Source organism: Homo sapiens, chromosome 3 (assembly GCF_000001405.40).
Source record: "Homo sapiens chromosome 3, GRCh38.p14 Primary Assembly".
NCBI lineage: Eukaryota > Metazoa > Chordata > Mammalia > Primates > Hominidae > Homo > Homo sapiens.
In genome coordinates, this window is record NC_000003.12 from 135,478,755 (window position 1) to 135,497,798 (window position 19,044).

The following is a 19,044-nucleotide window of genomic DNA, read 5'->3' on the forward strand; positions in this document are numbered from 1 at the left end:
CCTACAGTCTTTATTGACTGGCTTTGGGAAAGAAACACCTTCAGTAGCCATCAAGGGTGAGGATTCTGAGGTTTTCTCAGACTTTTTCTATGGATGGGCCTGCTCCACCTCTCTTGTTCCTTTTTTGGTGGAGAGAATTATTAAAATTGTGTGCCTTTTCTGCATCCTGCAAAGCTAGACTGTTTGCTGAGAATCTCCCATTTGTTTTCCTTAGGGCAATGCCCTAAAATGCTCAAGTTTGTGTGTCTCCTCCAAGTCCCACAGAGTCAAGCCAGTTGACCGCATATGACTGCAAGCCACCTGCAAAGGCTCACACTTATTGTATGGAGCACATGCATGGGGAGCCATTCAGCAGGGGTACTGGGAGAGGAGGTGAGGAGCATGGATCATTGAGGGCATCCGCGGGCCAGTTAAGGGGCTTTGCAAGGCATCTCAAGTGGCTCATGGGTAAGCCTCCTGAAGGAGACTGTGAAGTTGTTAGTAGAATACATGGTCATTTGTTGAATTTCAAGCCCTGTTGCTGTGAGTCCCCACCACTTTTCCCTGCTCCCAGCCTCTCACAGCCATATAGCCATGGTGATCCCCTCAGCATTCTGTGTGTGGTGCGGAAGAGCTGGGCCTCTTGTGTATCATTCCACACAGCTGGGAAATCCAGCTGCTCATTCACTACTCTTGCTTTCTTCCATGGAAGGACTCATGGGCCACAGGAGCCTCTTTTGGCAGTGAGATGTGATGCCTTGGGGAAGTGGTGACATGGGTAAAGTGAAATCTATTCAATGTATCTATTCTTGGATTTTTGGGTCTTTTGGTTGTTTAGTTTGTTTTGTTTTTGCTCCAATGGCATGCTAGAACTTCTCTACTGGACACCCAGGCTCCCACAATGGTACTCTCATTCACAGTGGTTGTCAAAATCAGTGAACTGTGGAGAGATGATAGTAGAAAACCCTTATTCTGCCATCTTGCTGACATCATTCCATCGTAGACAATTTTCAGTCACAGATAACAGTGTGCTGGAGCCAGCTCAGAGGGGCTTATGAGAGCAAATCGTGCACCATGATATTTTCCCAACTCCACAATCAGCAGCTTCTTGTTAGTGCTTTGAAATCAGGGCCGGGCACGGTGACCCACACCTGTAATCCTAGCACTTTGGGAGGCTGAGGCAGGCAGATCATGAGGTCAAGAGATTGAGACCATCCTGACCAACATGGTGAAACTCCATCTCTACTAAAAATACAAAAATTAGCTGGGCGTGGTGGCACATGCCTGTAGTCCCAGCTACTTGGGAGGCTGAGGCAGAAGAATTGCTTGAACCCAGGAGGCATAGGTTGCAGTGAGCCGAGATTGCACCACTGCACTCCAGCCTGGGCGACAGAACAAGACTCTGTCTCAAAAAAAAGAAAGAAAGAAAGAAAAAAAAGTCAGGTGTGGTGGGAATATTTACACTATAGAAATCAGAAAAGTTTTAAAAGAATGGGGACTTGTTTTGTTTTGTCTTGTGTTTTCTAGAGAGCCAGTTGTTAAACATTTAGCAGCCCATGGCAGTAAATGATGGGCTGATTCCTGGAACAAATGTCTCATCTTCTATGTCTTGCACTCCTTTCTCTCCAATGTTAGTGAAGAACAGGGCTTTCCACACTGTAGTGCTCCTAAGAACCACCTCCATTAATTGAATTTTAACCCAGGCAAGTTTGGCCCTGGAGCTTGATGGCCACCATTCAATCATTTATTGATTCATTTCTTCATTAGCTCATACTGAGTACCTGGCTAGCAGTTAGGGATATAAAGAAAAGATAAGTACCTGCCTCCAAAGATCTCACAATCTCTCAGGGAAAGCATTTGGGCAGGTTTTAAACCAAGCTCTTGTAACACATCCCCACCCCAAGCCTAGTCTACCCAGTAGACTAATATTACTGACTCCTAATATTAGCAGGACCCAGAACAAGGATACAGATAGAAGACTTCTACGTTAGTTTCCCAGGGATGTTATAACAAATTACTACAAAATTTGTGGCTTTAAAAGAAAAAGAATTATTATGTCACAGCTCTGGAGGCTAGAAATCTCAAGTCAAGGTGTCAGCAGCATGCCATCTGAGGGCTGTAGAGGAGAATTCTTCTTCACTTTGTTCGGCCTCCAGTGACTGCAGGTATTCTTGGCTTGGTCCTTACTCCTCCTTCACAGGCCCTTTTGTCCTGTGTCTCTGTGTCTTCACCTCTTCCCATAAGGATACTTGTCAGTGGACTTATGACCCACACGGTTAATCCAGAATGATCTTATCTTGAGATGCTTCACTTAATTACATCTGCAAAGACCCTTTTTTCAAAATGAGGGCACATTCTTAGGTAGCAGGGATTAGGATTTAGACACATCATTTTGGAGGCCACAATTCAACTTACTAAACCCACATACCATGTCTAAATATTTAAAATTTATAAATCAAACTGACAAATTGGCAGATAACTTACGTTTCACCTTAATATTTATACCATTATGATGACAAAATTTAAAAATATGTGCAAGCTATAGTTTCATATGGCCAAAAAGAAAATATCAAGATAGACTGAATTTAATCATTATTGTCTATGTGTAGGTGACCTATTGATAGTTGTATAATATTTGCATTAAGTAATAAATGCATACATAATTCATAAATTACTATATATGCATTCTGTGAACTTTATTTTTCTTTCCATCAGTTAAGTAAAATTACTAAGTATGTTCCTATAATCAAGAGTTTTATGTAATTTGTGTTCAGTTGACACAAATGAGGATAATAATGACATTCACTCTACAAGGAAATTGTATTTAAAGTGTACACAATTTGAATAAATTTTCATTTAAAATGTAAATTGACGCCAGGAGTGGTGGTTCACGCCTGTAATCCCAGCTCTTTGGGTGGATCATCTGAGGTGGGCAGATCATTTGAAGTCAGGAGTTCGAGACCAGCCTGGCCAACATGGTGAAACCCCATCTCTACAAAAAATAAAAAGAAATTAGCCAGGCACGGCAGCATGTGCCTGTAGTCCCAGCTACTCAGGAGGCTGAGGCAGGAGAATCGCTTGAACCTAGGAGGTGGAGGTTGCAGTGAGCCAAGATCACACCATTGCACTCCAGCCTGGGTGACAAGAGCGAAACTCGGTCTTAAAAAAAAATAAAATAAATTAAGCTACATGTAAATCGAGTACAAACATTTGTAAAATTAATTTCTTAAAGAATTATAAATCTATTTTTCTTACAAAATATTCAAACTTACTAAATTTAGAGGTAAAATATATATTGTAATCAATGAATATTGCATTTTTAAATAATTACTTAAATCATCTTTAATTTTTCATTCGATATTTTGAAAATTTAATTAAAGCTTAATAAATATGTCATAAAAATAAGATTATCTGCAATTTGAGAATTCAATGCCCATGCAATTGACCATGTTAGGAATCAGTGTCACTGTTGGTGGGAATGTAAATTAGTATAGGCACCATGGAGAATAATATGGAGGTGCCTCAAAAAACTAGAAATAGAACTACAACATGATCCAGCAATGCCACTGCTGTGTATATATCTAAAAGAAAATACATCAATATATGGAAGAGATATCTGCATTCCCATGTTTATTACATCACTAATCACCAAACCAAGATATGGAATCAACCTAAGTGTCCATCAATAAATAAATGGATAAAGAAAATATGGTACATAAATACAATGGAATATCATTTAGCCATAAAAAAGAATAAAACACTGCCATTTGCAACAACATGGATGGACCTAGAGGACATTATGTTAAGTGAAATAAGCCAGGCACAGCAGGACAAATTTTGCGTGTTCTCACTCATATGTGGGAGCCAAGAATTAAGCAAATTGAACTCATAAAGATAGAGAGTAGAATGATGGTTACCACAGGCTAGGAAGGGTGGCAGGGAGTGGGGGTAAAGTGGGGCTAGTGAATGGGTACAAAAATACAGTTAGATAGAATGAATAAGATCTAGTATTCAGTAGCACAATTGGGTGACTATAGTTAACAATAATTTATTGTATATTTTAAAATAACTAAAAGAGTGGAATTGCCATGTTTCTAACACAAAGAAATGATAAATGCTTGAGGTGATGATTACCCTAATTATCCTGATTTGATAATTACACATTGTATGCCTATATCAAAACATCACTTGTACCCCATAAATATATATGAGTATTATGTACCCATAATAATTATTTTTAAAAGACAAAAAAGAAGCAGTGTCAAACTTCACGCATGTTATATTCAGACCTAAACTATTCCTCATCTACCGTGAACAACTTTTGTGAATACCATATTAACTCTAAGCACTACCAAAACCCACAAATTGGAGTGTAAAAAGAAAGAAAAAAAAAAGAATATGTGACACTACTAAAAAATCTTATTTTATTATGCCAGAACCTATCGCATTCATGTACCTGAGAGGAAGGATTTGATACACTAATTTGTCCTTTCCCTTACCTAAGTGCTTCCACTGCTCAAGTTTCCCTTGTCTTTTTCTAATAACAACAGCAAACCCACATACCTGAATGAATTGATTTGTGTTGTGGAGCAAGAGATGTGAAGAAGCATTTCCCTGGGGCCTGAATGGTGATAGCATTGACAGTGAATGTTCCAGGTTATGATGTGCCAGCAATAACAGCTGGTTCTCAAGTGAGAGACACTAGTGTGTTTGTGTGTGTGTGTGATCATGATCGTGATATATATCGTCCTTTAAATTGCAAGGATTAGGACAGAGACCACTCTTGCCTTTGGTATATTCTGGAAAATACCTCCCAGAACTCTGTTATGTCTTTCTGCTGAGTGTAAATCCCACCTGGCTCTCCAGAATAGAGCCTGCCATCCAGTCCTCTGGCATCCAGAGGGAGAAGCCTTGAATACTCTGCCTTGGTGCTGTTGTTTAGATCTCTACTCCTGACCATTCCACTGCTAACCACCTTCCCATCTACCTTCTCTATCATCTTCCCACAGTCTCTGAGGCTATGTTTATCTTCCTCTGGAACCAGATGACCTGTGTGTCCCCAGACTCTCCTGGTATTCCGTTTGACATAACCCCCAGTTCTGTTGCTACAGACCAGCCTATCAATCACTGCACCCACTGCCTTTGCTGAAGTCTATTAGCACAGTCCATCTCTGGCTGTCTTTAGGAGTACCATCTAACTTGGGTCCCTGGATGATCTCTTTGCTTTCACAACCTCTGAATGGTATGCTTTTCCCCATCAAGAATTAGTTGAAATTCCAGGCTGGCCTTGCTAAGTAACAGCATCCCATCATAGAAAATGTCAGACAAATCCATGTCTCCCACCTCTGACTGGGTAAAGTGCTTTATTAAAAATAAGAGTTGCAAGTGATGGGCCGGGCGCGGTGGCTCACGCTTGTAATCCCAGCACTTTGGGAGGCCGAGGCGGGCGGATCACGAGGTCAGGAGATCGAGACCATCCTGGCTAACACGGTGAAACCCCGTCTCTACTAAAAATACAAAAAAATTAGCCGGGCTTGGTGGCGGGCGCCTGTAGTCTCAGCTACTCGGGAGGCTGAGGCAGGAGAATGGCGTGAACCTGGGAGGCGGAGCTTGCAGTGAGCCGAGATTGCGCCACTGCACTCCCACCTGGGCCACAGAGCGAGACTCCGTCTCAAAAAAAAAAAAAGAGTTGCAAGTGATGATCCAATAGAGAAGGCTAGCCTGCAAAAGTTTTGGGAGGAAGTGTAGTTTTTAAGTTTGATTCTGAATCTTTAAACAGAGTTTGGAAACTTTTCCCAGTTTTCGTATACCCAGCCCAATTCACACATTTACATTACTAGGCTAGCCCTATAGGTAAACAATAAAGCATTGTTTTTAGAGCCAGATGAAAGCGAATTTGAATCTCTGCTCCATTTCTTACCTGCTGTGTACTCTGAAACAAGTTACATACTCTTTCAGAGCTCAGTTTTCTCATCTCTCAAAAGGAATAGCAAAACACACCTAGCAGGTTAGTAATGATGACTAAAAGAAAATGTGCTTTAGCATAGTGTTTGCACACGCTAGATAATTGGTAGTTGTTGGTTCTGTTCCCCTCATTCAGCCTCCACAATTCTCTAGCCACACTCTCAAATCTGCTAATGGATACCTTATAACTTGGCTCTGAGTGGGGCCACTACTTCCTCCTTTTGGATGAGCAATTAAGGACTCAGGGGGCAGCCTGTAGCCAGGAACTTAACTAAGTCAACTAAATCCAATAAATGACTTCTTCTATTACATAGAAATCATGGGTGCTCGTAGATACAAATTGGCTGTCTTCTCTACTTTCCTTTACAGCATTTAAGTAGTTCCTTAACACAATTTTATTTTGGAGCTTCCTAATTATATTACTCCAGGTACCTACTGTCAATGAGCTTGCCCATGGGAAAAAAAAAAAGAAGAGTTATTTATGCATTTTTATATTCCACAAGCATTTATGGAGTAACTCTGGTGATCTCAGCACTGCAGAGCATGCCAAAGTATAAGACATGGTTCCTGCCCTTGAGGAACTTAAAGACTCACTGGTGATAAATAATAAATATGTGAGAAATTATTAAATCAGAAGTGTATAAAACAGATGATGAATATTTAAGGGGAATGATGTTGTGGAAGAGCCCAATAATAATATTATATCTGTAGTTTATTTTTTAACTATTTTTATATATAAAGAAATGAAGTAGCTAGAGAATGTACCGTGGGTCAGGGAAATAGCATGAACAGAGCCTTGACAACTTGACTGAGCCAGTAGGAGCCTGAGCCAGTTGGAGTGAAAGCCCCATATAGAAGAGTCATTTCATTTCCATAAACATGAGCAAGCTCTAAATGATAGCTACAATCCCACAAGTGTTTTTCCTGCCCCTGGCCTTTCTCCTACTTGGGACAATCTATCATACTCTAGTGTAACAAAACATTCTAAGTACCATGTGAAAAGTATCACTCTCCCATTCAAACACTTACAATGGCCCTCTACTACTGCTGAATCCCACTGCTCACTGAATCCAGACTCCTCTGTGGTATCCTTATGGATCAGATAGAGGCTCAAAGTTTGGATTGTAGCGCAGTTAAGTAAAGAGAGGATAGCAAACTAGCAAACTGGATTTGAATCCAGTTCAGCCATCACCTAGTTATGTAGACCCCTAAGGAATTCAACTTCCTTGTGCCTCAAATCCATAACTCATCAGTTGCTGAGGAGATTACAATAATTTAATACATGTAAAGGACTTAGAATACTATTTGTCACATAGAAAATACTCAAGGACTATTGCCTGTCGGTAGAGGAATGAACGTATTGATTAATGGAACAAGTGAACCTGGAGAAAAGTTTCTACTCCCAGCCCTGAAAGCTCAGTTTGTGAGCCAGTGAAGACATAGAAGATATACTTATTCCATTTGCGAAATGATATAAAGTGGATAGGAATAGCAAATATGTTGGATGACAAATAATGTTCCAACACTATGCTAACCACCAACTGAAAGGGACAGACCTAACAAGATACAAGGAACAGGAATAAACACAGCCCAGTACTTTATGTGCTGGTAAACCAGCTCTCTAGAAGATAAAAGCCCCTGATTCACAGTATTTGCTAAATCCTGTGGTATAAAGACTCCTACCACAGCTGATGTCAAGTTACCATGTGATGTCCTGAACTCAGAATTGGGAAGAGATGCTAGCTAACATTGGCTCTCGTGAACTGCTGTGGGCTTGTTCTAGTACACCACTGAAAACAGAAAGTCCTAAACGAAGTTTAAAACAAAACTCTGTGTTTAGTATGATATAAAATGTGGCATAGTGCCTGGCCCTAAAGAGTTTCCACGAACTGAGCGACTGTAAATTCAACATGCGAGAGAAGCAGGGAAGTGAAATGGCCTGAGAGCTCTGGTCCTGCAGCCAGACATTTATGGATTCAAATTTCACCTTCCTTGCTTGCTAGGTGCATGATCTTTGAATAATCACTAAACCTCTAATCCTAGCTCCCTCATCTCTAAAATGGAAATGATGATAATAATGATAATAATGTCTGCCTCGTAAACTTACAGAGTTGAATGAGAAATGTCATGTTAAGAAAGAGTTTAGCAGACTGGGCACGGTGGTCCATGCCTGTAATCCCAGCACTTTGGGAAGCCAAGGCAGGCAGATCCCTTGAGCCCAGCAGTTCAAGATCAGGCTGGGCAACATGCTGAAACCCCATCTCTACAAAAAATATAAAAATTAGCTGGGTGTGGTGGCATGCACCTGTAGTCTCAGCTACTCAGTAGGCTGAGTTGGGAGGATCATTTGAGCCTGGTGGAGGTTCGAGGCTATAGGGAGCCAAGATCACACCACTGCACTCCAGCCTGGGTGACAAAGTGAGGCCCTGTTTCAAAAAAAAAAAAAAAAAAAACCCAGAAGAAATAAAGAAAGAGTTTAGCAATAAAAAAAAGACAAGCAACCAAAAGGGGAAAAAATGGGCAAAATAATGTGAATGAGCTATAGCTGCCATAACACACCACCCAGGGCTACTGGCTTAAAACAACAAATATCTATGTGCTCTGATTTCTGTGGGTTGACAGTTTGGGCTGAGCTCAGAAAAAAATGGCTCATTTTATCCTCAAGAAATTAGCTGGGCTCAGTCTCATGTTTGCAGTCAGCTGGCAGTCAATGGCCTCACTCATGTGTTTGGCAGTTTGCTGGACTAATGAAGGTCACCAGGCCACGTGTCCCTCATCATTCAGCAGACTAGCCCAGGCTTTTTCACATGGTGGTGGTTTCAGAGAAGCAAGAAACAGCACCAATGCACAAGCACTTTCCAAGTCTCTTGGGCCTCTTCAAGTCTCACATTTTCTTATCTCCTTAGCCAAAGGAAATCACATGTCTACGCCCAGAATCTGTATGATGGGAATTACCCAAGGATATCGATTCAGGGAAGGAAATTATTGTGGCCATTTTTGCAAACTAGCACAATGTAAGAATAGGAAATCGATAAAAGAAAAAATCCAAATGGCAAAAAAAAAATGCGTGAAAAGACGTCCAACCTTATTAGTAAAAGGAAAATGCAAATTAAAATGAGATATCATTTCATATTTACTGGCTTGGTAAATAAAAAGCCTTATAAAACTGAGGAATGGTTGAAAATGGGGAAATGAGAAATCCTGTACACAGCTACTGGAGCATAGACAAATTATGACACACTCATAGAATTCAGTAACTAAAATTAGGTTCCTAGGAATCAATATTGAAAACATAATTGTGAGTTACAGAATATCAGACAAATAAGATTTGATACTTTATATATGATATTTTATAAGTATATATGTAATAAAATTATAAAACATGGGTGGGAGGAACATACATCAACTTCAGAATAATATTTATTTATTGTGATGAAAGAATGAAAAGCAAAGAATGAAAAATAAAGGAGGCTTTGATTTTATCTGTATATTTTATTTATCCAAAAATTTGAAGTAATCATGGTAAAATAGCAGCGTACTGGAGGGCAAGGAGGGGAGGTGGGGATGGTTAGTAGATACAGAAACAGTAAAAAGAATGAGTAAGACCTACTATTTGATAGCACAACAGGGTGACTAAAGTCAATAATAACTTACTTGTACATTTTTAAATAATTTGAAGAGTGTAACTGGATTGTTTGTGACTCAGAGGATAAATGCTTGAGGGGATGAATACCCCATTCTCCATAATGTGCTTTTTTCATATTGCATGCCTGCATCAAAACATTTCATGTACACCCAAAATATATATACCTACTATGTACCAACAAAAATTAAAAATTAAAAGCATAAATAAATAAAAAGGAAAAGAAAAATATATGAAAATTAAAATTATGAAAAAAGCAAAAAAAAAAAAAAGAATATGTGTTAAATTCCAGAGGCAGGTCCATGAGGACTTGCTATGTTCAGAATATTTTAAATATAATATGTTTGAAATATTTCATCATTAAAGTGACATTTAAAGAAATAATAGCTGACATCTTCTTTAAGAAGAAAAGGTTGGAGGAACAAGTTTTATAACTGTTTAATTGGCTGCCCAAAAAATCTGCTCTTAGATTACATTTATGGAAGTATAGAATGTAGAAAGAAGGTGTGTACAATCCTGCTCTACTCCGTAGTGTCAGACCATGCCATGCTGGAGCACACTTTAGAAAGGACATACACAAATGTGAGAGTGGCCATTCATTCTGCCAACCACACTGCTTGAGTCTCTACTTGTGCTGTCAGTATAACAGGCCCTGAGGATACCACAGAGGACACAACATCTTGTGTCCCTGCTCTCAGAGGGGTTTGGATCATAAACCTGAAAGACACAATTCCAAACACCATCATCCCAAATACTGAAATCCCTAGAGATCAAAATTCCTAAACAGAAGATGGGAAAGTTTAACAGGAAATGTTCATGTTGTTGCATATCGAATCACAGAAGAATATCAAAAAGAGCAGCACTACATAGAAAATGAATATGAAAATATTCTCTGAGGAAAGCCATGTCCTAATAGAAAAAAGCAGCTATTCATCGTGATGCAAGACTTCAAAATATAGTCAATGATAGTGAAGGTTAGCCAGCCTTATGGACAACCTCTGTGCAATTGCCATTATCTATCCACTTAATATACTTTTCATGTCTAATGTTTTTCTTTTCTTTTTGTTAGTCTTTTTCATTATTTTAAATTGTTAATGTTGTATTTTACAATTTGCTAGGCTATGTATTTCATCTTTACATCATTTTCAATATTGAAGATATAAATTGCATAGAGACTTTTGGAGAGTTCTAATTGGTTTTACACATTTTTTTGCAGATTTGACTCCAGAAAATGCATTATCATAACGTTGACTTTGTGTGTAAGCATTGTGCATGTAAGTAAAAATGTTGAAATTTCCTCAATAAATGAAGAGATGTTCTTTTGCTACATCTGCTTTTGTGAGAAATGTCTCAAGATCTCGGCTCTTTGGGAGACTGCATATGTGATGGTGACCCAACATGGTTTTGTTTTTTTATTGATCTCTTTAAAATACTGTTAGGTTGCTCATAACAGTATTTCATATGACTGCAGTTATAAGGCTGCGTACACAACCATAGTGATATGTGTTTATATATTTCCCTTTTTCACCTATTTCTTTATGAATACAGTTCATCTGCTCATAATTGTTATATCCATGTGGCTGTCATTAGTATATCTGAATTTTTATGCCTCCAAAAATGTGTATGTTATTGACTCTTTTATTGTATAAAGTGGCCTGTGAAGTGTTCTGTTGCATTTTTGTTTCTCAAATAAATTCCCTTTTAAATATCTTTAAAATACTTTTTTATTGTTTTTCTCAGAGTTATATTTTTGGGATTGTGATCTTTCAGGATTTCCACATTCAGGATGGTGGCACTCTGGATTGTGTCTTTCAGGATTATGATCAGCTCTCCTCTTGGAGGCTTACCTTGCCTCCCAGTCAACATATACAGCAAATTTAAGAGCATATAGGATATAGTGGGTGAGGCAGTGGAGAGTTGATAACATAGCAAGGAGATGAAAAACTGCCCAAGCCAAGTTGTGAGGGGAAGAATGACAAGGCTGCCCGCCCCCACCTCTCTCCCACACTGACTCTTAGTCTACAGGGAATGCTGGGCTTTAGATGGAGCACTCTGAGTACCTTCCTGCACAGATACACTCAGCATAACCAGGGAGAAATCTGATATGTGTCCAGGGATCTCACTGGAGCTTTCCATGAAGCCCAGCCTTAGTGTCCCCATGAGAACTTCGCCCTCAAGCAAAGCAGAGGATCAGCGCAGTGTGCTCCATCCATCAGCTACTCGGCAGCCTTTATCCCTTCAAGGCTGAACTGCAAAAACAGTTATTTTTGCTGTACTGTATTTTTATTTCTCTTCAACTCCCTATTTCCTATTCAGTAATTATTGCCAAGAAATATTCACAGAAAACATGCTAGGTTTCTGACAGTCTGTCATGTGGGAGCTCTTCCTGTGCACTGCCTGGAGACTGGAGGCTGGCTGGGTGAGGTGCAGGGAGAATGGTTCTGGCCACCATAAGGAAAAAGTCTAAGGCTGCTGGGTTCAGACTAGCAGCAGGTAGCCTCTTTGGAGGTCTGCCAAGAGAAGACACAGGAACACTGAAGAGCAAGTGGCTGGTTGGCCTTAAGAATTCTATAAAATGTCTTCATTGAATTTTTCTGATTCTAGAATAATTATAAAACCATTAAAAATTAAAGAAATGTTTAAGACAGTGTGGCTCCATAATTTTATCTTGTAGGGAAAACCACTATTCACACTTTGATCTGTATCTTTTCAGACATTTTTCATTGCATATGCAAACTTTCAGATATGAAAGGGGGATCATGATATATATAGATTGCCTTGCAACTTGCTTTTCTCTCCCGCCATAATGTTATATTTTGGAAGCCTTCCCCATATTGGATCTGCATGACTATTCATTCTTTTTATGGGTTGCAATATTTATTCCTTCACAAATACCTACCAAACGTGAGCACCCACTTAATGTCAGGCACTCTTCTAGGCACGAGGGAACACAATGATAAGCAAGAGTTTTGTCCTCATAAAACTTTACATTCTAGTAAAGAGAAAGAAATACACAAACAAAAAGATATCAAAGAATGTCCAAGAAATACATGCTATGAAATAAAATAAAGCAGGTTAAGGGGTCACTGTGCAACAAAGAATACTGTTTTAAATTGCATAGTCATAGAACACTTCTCCCAGGGATTCTGTATCAGTGGTCTATCGCTGTGTTTCAAATTACCCCAAGACTTAGTGTTTAAAACAACAGTATTCATGACTCACAGTTTCTGTCTAATGGGAATCCAGCAGAGGCTTAGCTGCACCCGCTGCTTCAGGATCTCTCTCAGGCTTCAGTTGAGTTGCCAGCCAGACCTGCAGTCATCTGAAGGTTGTTAGCAGGAATTAGTTTCCTACAGGCTGTTCTCTGGGAGCATCAGTTCCTCATTGGCTGTTGGCTGAAGGTATCCCTCAGTTCCTTGCCATGTGGACTTCTCCATAGGGCAGCTCACAGCATGGCAGCCTGCTTACTCACAAGCAAGAATGACAGGGAGAGGAAGACAGAGGGAGAGAGAAAGAGCATGCAAGATGAAGTCATGGTATTCTGTTATAAGATCTCAGAAGTGAAATCCCCCCTTTTAAAATATTCTATTCATTATTAGTAAGTCACTAGGTCCAGCTCACACTAGAAGGGAGGGAATCCATACCAGGAGGGCAGGTCGTTAAGGGTCATTTTCGAAGCTGTTCACCACATGTTGATATTTGAACAGAGGTATAAATAGAGTGAGGAGACAGTCGTATTAATATCTGGGGGAGAAAACCTTCCAAGAAGGAGAAACTGCAGGAGCAAAGGCCCTAAGGGTGGAACTGCCTTGGTCTGTGGAACAGCTATAGCCTCTAGGAACTGGAGCAGGAGGAGAGAAAGAGCAGTGGAAAATTAGGGTGAGAACGGGGAAGGGACCAAATCATCCCAGGCCTTATAGGCCATGGGAAAGGGCTTGGGGTTTTATTTTAAGAGTAATACGAAGCCACAGTATTCCCTAGTTTGTATTATCATAATTTATTTGCTTAACCTACTGATGAAGATCATTTTTAATTTTCTGTTTGTAAAAATGCCAACCCTAAATATATGTATGTGTGCATTTATCCTGCAGGTATATGTGTATCCTCAGGGGACTTTTTCTGGACCAAAAAGTATGTGCATTTAAAATGTAGATACACACATATTGCCAAACTGCACTCACAAACACTTTCCCAATTGACTCGCCCATCAAAATTGTGCAAAAGGAAAGTCCTGGCCAACACTAAGTAGTATTAAGCTTTCGAGTATTCGTTAATCCGATGCAGGAAAGTGGCATTTCATTGTGATTTGTATTTGTTTCCTCTCTTAAGAGGACAAATCTCTTTGCATCCTTCTGTTTCATCCTCTGCAGGGTCTGGTGGGGTCTAAGGGTCCTCTACTCTGACTGTCTCTAATGGCTGCTGGCCCCACAGCCCAGGAGCTGGCCGGCTGTCCAGCATTGCTTCCCTTTTCTTCCTGTGGTCTCAGGGGCCACTCTGGCCTTCCTACTGCGGAGCCTTTGCCTGATCTCCTTTCCCCACACACATCTCTTTCCACTTGTCAGACTCAGGTGTCTCCTCAGTGTCTAGCATCCAGCTGCCTCTGCCATGCTCTCCATCAGATTACAGGTGCTCAGAAGCCCCTCCACAGGATGCCAGGTGGCCCAGTGAAGCAATAGTCAGAGAGGTGTACACCAGGCTTCTATCCAGCTCCAGCTCCTATAACTCTCTGATCTTGGGGAAAGTGCCGAAACAGCATGTGTCTCCATGCTTTCTCTAAATGGAGGTCAGAAATAATAGTCACTTCTTAGGTATGCTGTCATAGGATTAAATGCGAAAGTTAAAACAAAATACTAGGAATAGTACCAACCACTTAGTAGGTAGTCAGTAAATATGAACTCTTACCATCATCGTACCTACCTGAGTGCATTTGAGATGCAGTGAGGGCATCTGAGTTCCTAGAAGGCAGAAACAGTACCTTATTCATTTTTGCAATTCTAGAGGTACTTCATACAGTTCCCTGTACAAGACAGCATTCAATAATTATTTGTATAATTATTTGTGTATGTGTCAAATCAAGGAATTCACACCTGAATGAATGAATGAATGAATTGAATGTGCAGCCCTAACATGGAGGGATTTAACTGTCAACTGTTATCTTGGGTACAGTTGGGAATCCTTGAAGGATCTCATGAAGATTAAATAACATAAAATAATGTTTTAAGAAGGAATTTAAGGAATAAGTAAATTTACAAATAAGATTTTTTTAAACCTGCAGATTTCGCCAGTTCTCATAAACGAAAGCGGCCAAAACACATTTGGAAACATGTTTTAAGCTGTCTGCTCTTCAGACCATGCATGCATAGGCTCCCCAGCCCTCCCCCAATTTCTGTAGCCCACCCTGCCTCCCAGTGGCCCATTACCAGGCAGAGGCCCCTCTAGAGATGAGCACACAAATGTGCTCACTGTTTTTGCCTCAGGTGCTCTCTCCAGCATGCACGGTGGTTTAAAACAGAGGCAAACAACCACAGCCTGAAGGCCACATTCAGCTCGCAGATATATTTTGCTTCATGCACACAGTATTTTCTAAAAATTAAATTAAAACTCAGGAGATTTACATTTTTTAAAGTACAGATACCTTGCAAAACCTGAGGTCTGGCCACAGGGACCAGCACTTCCTCATGGAAGCACCAGTCTTTTTCATGAACCCCTATAGCAGCAGTCCCCTTAGGACAGGCCTATACTTTATTTTCAGGTCCCCAGGACCCTACATTCTTATCTCATTGTTTATGTTGAACGGATGCCGAGCCACATGAGTTTTCAACCCTTGTTTTACAAGTATCATTCCAAGTAGACATTGGCCTTGCCTTTCACTAATGAAATACTCACTAATGAGTATTTCAGCCCCAAATAATTCCTCAAACATATAAAGCAACAGTTCCTTAACCCCGACATGATTTTTGAGAAAACTTCTCTATAATCGGATATACTCAAGCATTGTCTACAATTCTAACCTCTTAGATACTGAGTACTCGTTTGGCTACCACTTTTTTCAAGGTGTACCTCCATAAACATCCCATGGAAGACATTTTGGGGAACACAGCCTGGGAAGGTCCAGAGACCCTCAATACCTAAAGAGAAAACTCTACACTCACAGATACACTCACAGAGACAATCTCTTAGAAATAGGGGCAACACTGCCCATCTTCAGCCCCTTACCAAGGGAGGTGATACAAGAGAGATGACACAAGCCATCCCCTGGATAAGTCAACTGCAGAGGAAGCTGGGGAAGAGGAAGACCCATTGCCTTTGCTCAGGATTCTAGAAACAGACTCTGAGATGGAGATGTATGTGCAGGAGTTTTGTCGGAGCAGGCACTAGGGAATGCAGAAGCCTCAGATAATCCTGCAGGAAGCTTGGGAGTTATGGACTGCGGAGTATTCAGAGTTCTCTTCCAAATTGAGGCAAAGGGGCCAGGCCTTTGTAACCCCTGTATCAACCAGTCATTGAAGGAGAGAGTATTACCCTGGGAAAGGCAGCTCTCACCAGCCAGATGCAGTTCCCAGACAGGGATTTGGCTATGGCCATCAGTAGCCAACACTCTCAGCATGAGCAGATAAGTGTGTCAGTCCTGAAAGGGAATCTGACTGGAATTCACAGGTCCACTACATCCACCTTCCTCCTTCAGGGTAAAATAGAATAATCTTCCCAGCCACTGGCACCAACAAATGCCATGTGAAAGCCAGAAGGTAAGACCTGGAGGCAAGGCTCTGGCGTATTGCTTCTAACATTTAACACTGGGAACGGCAGTACTCTTTCTGAAGCACAGTTCTGGATACAATGCTACAATATTTAAAAATCCTCAGGGGCTCCCAATTTTCTCCAAAATGATGTACAAACTCCTTAGCCTGGAATTCCAGGCCCTTTATCTTCTGTCCCAGACTACCTTTTCAGCTTAACTCTCATTATCTCCTGCAAAACTCAATACTGAACAGTAGTCTCCAAGCAGTCTCCATAGTTTACCTCCTTCATGTCTTTATTGTTGGTTATTCCCTCTTCCTAGAAAAACCATATCTCCCATCTCCATACATCTAAATCTTATCCAACTTTCTTGATTCAGCCTAAATGCTTCCCCGGTTCTATCTAACTGGAAGTAATCTTTCTCTGATCTTGTAATAACATTGCTTTGCTGTGAATTATATTCGATTTCTCCCATATACTTAACCATAAACTCTTTGAAGGCAGGACTTAGGTCTCATTAAGTGTCTTTTGTATCATAAATATTCATTTAATTTTTAATGTATTAATAGATGGATTGACAGATATATGGACATATGGGTGGACAGGAATATAGATGGAAGAATGACAGGCTCAGGATAGATTCCTGCTATTGAGATGATGTCTTCACTGTCTTGTCTTCATTCTGTTCCTTAGCTCTGTGTATCCTATTTAATTTATGAATAAGAGGCAGATTGGTCTAAAAAGAACTAGGTTATATTTTCCATATTGAAATATTCAAATTGCTTACTGAGCACTGGAGGCAGTGGGGAATCACTGAGCCCCCTTTTCAAGCTTGTTACCACATTTGTGCATAAGAGGGAAATAGCATCTAAGTCCCATTTGAGCCTACCACAAAACAGCCCCTGAGCCAGCTGTTATATTTCAAGTGGTACCACTTGGAAGACTTCTTGAACTTCAGATGGTTATTAACAAAACAATATGCTGATCAGTTCCAAGACACTAAATCAGAGGCAATGAGTTTTGGCAGCTGCTTGGCTCATGAAAGGTGACACCCAATTAGAGAATACGGTCAACCCCAGTGTGTGCTTCCGACTTCCCACAGTATTTATAGATGCAGTCATGGATCTGACAGCCAAGGATCCCACTTGGAGACACAAACTCTTCCAGAAGCCATACTAATAACCACTTACTGTTGCGTGATGCTGCACTTCATCTGAGTCCTCACAATGACTCCAAGAGGTAGGGATGGAATGTATTCTCATCTTCTCTTGAAGCCTCAGAGAGAAAAGACTATCCCAGAATGGCATGTCAGTAAAGTTGGTGTAGCAGCAAGGCCACAAGTAAAACCCAGGCTTTGACTCCTTCTCAGCAGCAATCTCCTTGCTATGTGATCTCATCCATACCTTTGCCTCCAGGTCTACAAAGAAAAATTATCAAATATATAATAATTTATTAATAATTTATGCAAGTGACATCATAGCCATTTTTAGAATTTTAGCACAATGCCTCGTAATTATTCATAAAGCCTGATCTAGATTATTTCTGCAAAGTTTAATTTCAATCTCTTTTGTCCTATCCTCATCTATTTAATATCTTTTGGGAAGAGGGCAGGTTTTAATTTTCAAAAGAGTAAGATGGTCCCTAGAAACTCCTTGAGAAGATTGTGTAACAGAAGAAATGTGAACCCTTATTGGGAAGAACATGTTTCCTGGGACCAACTGTGACTCACTAAGAGCAATCCCCATTAGACATGCCTGTTGGTGAGATGACCACAATAGAGAATTAAAAAGATGCAGTAGATACTGTGCTTATTGATTTTAGCAATGTCTTTGATGGAGTTTCCTATAATATTGTTGTTAACAAATTACAGAGATATGGACCTCATGATAATACAATTCAGTGGATTTATAACTGGTTGAATAAATTTGGAGATGACGATTAATGGGTGATATGACGCTATAGGATGCCCTGAACTGTGATATAATGAAGAATTTTGACCTCTGCCTCATTCAGTCCAAAATTTTTATCAAGTATTATTAAATATTTGTCCCCTTGAGCCTGCATACCCCATCTACATGAGGCTGAGAGAAGAGGCTGTGGAGGGGGATGGCAGAATCAGCATGCCAAAAGCAGTAGTTCAAACCTGACCCAACATTTCAGAGTCATATTCAAATAATCAAGTGCACACATAAAGGATGAGGAGACAGACCTTGATAGCAACTCATGAGAAGAAGACCTCAGAATTGAGTCTACTGTCTCAGTTTCACTCAATAGTAAGGGGGCAGTTGCCAAGGAAGCTAATAGGAACACAGGACTACATTTTCCAGTGGTAACTAACTGCTGTCTGCTTCTTCCAGAGGTTCTGAGATCTGTAGTTCAGGGTATTCACTGACCAGATGGAGAAAGGTCACAGGCAGGAAAAGAAAATGGGAAAAGAACTGAAAACTATATTAATTAAAAGACCTTGGAGATGTTTAGCCAGTTGATGATTCTCTTTAAATGTCTGAAAGACTGTCCCAAGAAAAAGGAAATTTTCTTTTTTTTTGAGACGGAGTCTTGCTCTGTCACCCAGGTTGGAGTGCAGTGGTGCCATCTCGGCTCACTGCAAGCTCCACCTCCCAGGTTCATGCCATTCTCCTGCCTCAGTCTCCCAAGTAGCTGGGACTACAGGCGCCCGCCACCACACCTGGCTAATTTTTGTATTTTTAGTAGAAACAGGG

General features: G+C 40.3%; 1 long non-coding RNA gene across 5 annotated transcripts in view; it reads right to left on the bottom strand.

The window, feature by feature from the left end:
* The window catches only part of LOC105374122 (uncharacterized), a 161,587-nt gene that overhangs the window by 123,963 nt on the left and 18,580 nt on the right, over positions 1 to 19,044 (bottom strand). For 3 of the 5 annotated variants that reach the window (XR_924527.4, XR_007096111.1, XR_001740926.1), the window contains exons 2-4: positions 17,515 to 17,741; positions 14,504 to 14,541; positions 12,809 to 13,049 (exon numbers count right to left, since the gene is read on the bottom strand). This is a non-coding gene — a long non-coding RNA (uncharacterized LOC105374122). Of the gene's footprint in view, positions 1 to 9,873; positions 12,579 to 12,808; positions 13,050 to 14,503; positions 14,542 to 17,514; positions 17,742 to 19,044 lie in introns of those variants that run through there. The other 2 variants (XR_002959651.2, XR_924528.4) reach the window with 2 other exon arrangements.